The sequence below is a fragment of the Homo sapiens genome, chromosome 1 (genome assembly GCF_000001405.40).
Source record: "Homo sapiens chromosome 1, GRCh38.p14 Primary Assembly".
NCBI lineage: Eukaryota > Metazoa > Chordata > Mammalia > Primates > Hominidae > Homo > Homo sapiens.
Genome location: NC_000001.11, coordinates 55,728,448 through 55,731,968, shown reverse-complemented (window position 1 = coordinate 55,731,968; position 3,521 = coordinate 55,728,448).

Genomic DNA, 3,521 nt, shown 5'->3' with positions numbered 1-3,521 from the left:
ACCTGTTGCAGAGCCTTCTCCTGTTCTGGACCCCACTCAAAACTGGCAGCCTTAGAGGTCACTTGATAAATGGGCCACAGTAATGCACCCAAATAAGGACCATGTTGCCTCCAAAATCCAAATCGGCCCAGTAGGCATTGTGCCTCTTTCTTGGTTGTAGGAGTGGCCAAATGCAGCAACTTATCCTTCACCTTAGAAGGAATATCTTGACAGGCCCCACACCACTGTACCCCTAAAAATTTTACTGAGGTGGAAGTTTCCTTAATTTTAGTCGGATTTATTTCCCATCCTCTGGCATACAAATGTCTCACCAACAAGTCCAGTGTACTTGCTACTTCTTGCTCACTGGATCCAATCAGCATAATGTCATCAATGTAATGGACCAGTGTGATACTTTGCAGAAGCAAAAAGCAGTCAAGGTCTCTCCGAATAAGATTATGACACAGAGCTGGAGAGTTGCTATACCTCTGAGGTAGGACTGTAAAGGTATATTGCTGGCCTTGCCAGCTGAAGGCAAATTGCTTCTGGTGGGCCTTATGGACAGGTATGGAGAAAAAGGCATTTGCCAAGTCAATGGCTGCATACCAGGTACACATTTCTCAAGCAATGAAACCATATCTGCTACAGCAGCTGCAATTGGAGTCACCACTTGGTTAAGCTTATGATAATTCACTGTCGTTCTCCAAGATCCATCTGTCTTCCGCACAGGCCAAATGGGAGAGTTGAACAGGAATGGGTTGGGAATCATCACCCCTGCATCTTTCAAGTCCTTGATGGTGGCACTAATCTCTATATTATGGAGATATAAAAAAAAATTTTGTTTTTGATTTACTATTTGTTTTTTGATTTACTATTTGTTTTGATATTGTTTTGATTTACTATTTGTCTATACAGAGGCAGCTCTAATGGCTTCCATTTGGCCGTTCCCACCATAATAGTCCTCACCCTACCAGTCAGGGAGCCGATGTGAAGGTTCTGCCAGCTGCTAAGTAAGCCTATGCCAATTATGCATTCTGGCACTGGGGAAATGACCATAAGATGAATCCAGGGACCTACTGGACCCTCTGTATTAGGCCCTGAACTAAAACTCCATTAATTACCTGACCTTTATATGCCCCTACTTTAACTGGAGGACCACAATGATGTTTTGGGTTGATTCCCCTGGAATCAACATCAGCCCAGAGCCAGTGTCCAGTAGTCCCCCAAATGTCTGATCGTTTCCCTTTCCCCTATGCACAATTACACTAATAAAATGCCAGAGGTCTCCTTGGGAAGGATGGGAGAAAGATTCACTATGTAAATTGTCAGTAATATAGTGGGGTCCTTCCTCAAGGGGACCCGGCCTCCACCTCATTCAAGGGGTTCTGGGTCTGTAAACTGGCTCAAGTCTGGAAATTGATTGAGGGGTCATGATTCTGTTTTTATAATTCAGATTAGTCTTTTGTCCATTCGACCTAGAAGTTTTCTGCTTGTATAAATTAAGTAGGAATGCAGTAGGCTACCTATCCATTTCACTTCTAAGAACACCATGATTAATTAGCCAATGCCAGAGCTCTACACAAGTCAGACTATGCAGATTGCAGCTTTACCACTTCTGTCCATTATAGTAGCTAAGCCCACCTTGCCTTTGATGGTTCAGTGCTTCCACTTGGTCCCTGCCACCTCAGGATCCAATTATTCTCATTGTATTTAAATTTTGTAGTTGAATGACTGCAGTTCCCACTGTTACATCTGACATACAGAGCAAAGCAATTACAGGGGTCTTCAAAGATGCAGGTGCTGCCCTCACAAATCTGTTTTGCAAGGCATTGGTCAAAGGTATATCTTGCAAGGGCATTGGCCAAGGAGCAACTTGTCCTTTTAGGTGATCAGGTCTGAACCCACTTGATGAAAAACATCTTTCAGTGGTAAGAAGTTGGGAATTTGGTCTGGATAAGGAAGGAAGCTTAAGATGCAGAATATTCTGTGATGTGCACTATCCATGAAGAAAAGCAAGCTGTAAAAAGCAATTTATTTTTTCAAAGTTAATTGTTACCAACTAAAACTCAATACACATAAGAAATTCACTTCACAGATAAAGGCATGGCATAAGATTCGAACTGTCTAGTAACTTTGTTGAAGTGAAGTAATGTTTTCCACTACTCAATTAGCAATATTTTCTTTTAAAATACTAGTAACTAAAGTTAATAAATATATGGTTAAATCAGTCTATCCAATCATTCTTAGTATCAGGGTAAATTAAATTAATTCTTGTGGAAAGAATTATCCAGCTGGAATAAGTAGGTCTAAAGTGACTAATCCACTCCACCATCCCAATCTCCCTAAGCTTTTGGATCCCTTCCTCTTCATTAAACCAAGGGAGATCAGGCATTTCCATCTTGCTCACAGTGGGCTATCTTTTAATCCATATTTCAGCTAACTAAGCAAATAAACTATTAGAACCTTTTTTTTTTAACTCCCTGAGCTGCAACATTAAAAGAAGAGTCCCTACTCAGTGGGCCCAAATCAACAAATTCAGCCTGATCCAACTCTGTTCCTTCCACCATTATCCCATACCCTTAATACCCATTCCCAATTCTGTTGTCCAGGTTGCTGTTTATATAAATTAGAGAACTCCAACAGCTATTTTTGAGTGTAGCACACCTTGTCGTGAGTCACACTCTCAACCTCACTTCTAGGGGCCTGCTTGGACTTTAATCTAGTTATAGGTCTAGAAGCAAACAGAAGTGTTAAGGTGGCTCCTGAGGAGAATCAACATTATCTTGCCTGGCAACTGCCTCAGGGGAGGCCATCACTGTTGCCTTAGGCAGTGCAGGGTTTATCTCCTCAGACAAAGGTGGAAAGGCTGATGGCAGCATGGGTCGGGGAGGGGATGTTGCTACCACTGGGGATGGGAAAGCTGTTACTTCTGGCACAAAGGTTCATATACATATATATATATATATATATATATATATATATATATATATATATGTATATGAACCTTTTTAAATATATATAAACCTCTATATATCTATATGAACCTTTATATATATATGAACCTTTATTTATATATATAAAATATATATGTTATTTATATATATGAACCTTTATATGTAAATGTATATAAAATATATATATATCTATATATGAACCTTATATGGCCTTTCCCCCCATCTGCTTCTGCAGGCCCTTTAGCCCATCCCAAATGTTCTACTGGGATGGCTCTTCTCTGTCTCCCCAACACCCCTGTCAGATGGTGCCAGTTCTCAGCTAGGTTCTGATAACACCTTCTTCCCTTCTCCCTTCTGACCTAAGGGTGGTAAATCCTTCCTTTAGGTGCTGGTCCCTGGGTGCCTCACCATCTGTGATGGTTAATACTGAGTGTCAACTTGATTGGATTGAAGGATACAAAGTATTGATCCTGGGTGTGTTGGTGAGGGTGTTGCCAAGAGATATTAACAAGTTCTTCAGTTTTGGGACTCCGACTGGCTCTCCTTGCTTCTCAGCTTGCAGATGGTCTATTGTGGGACCTTATGATT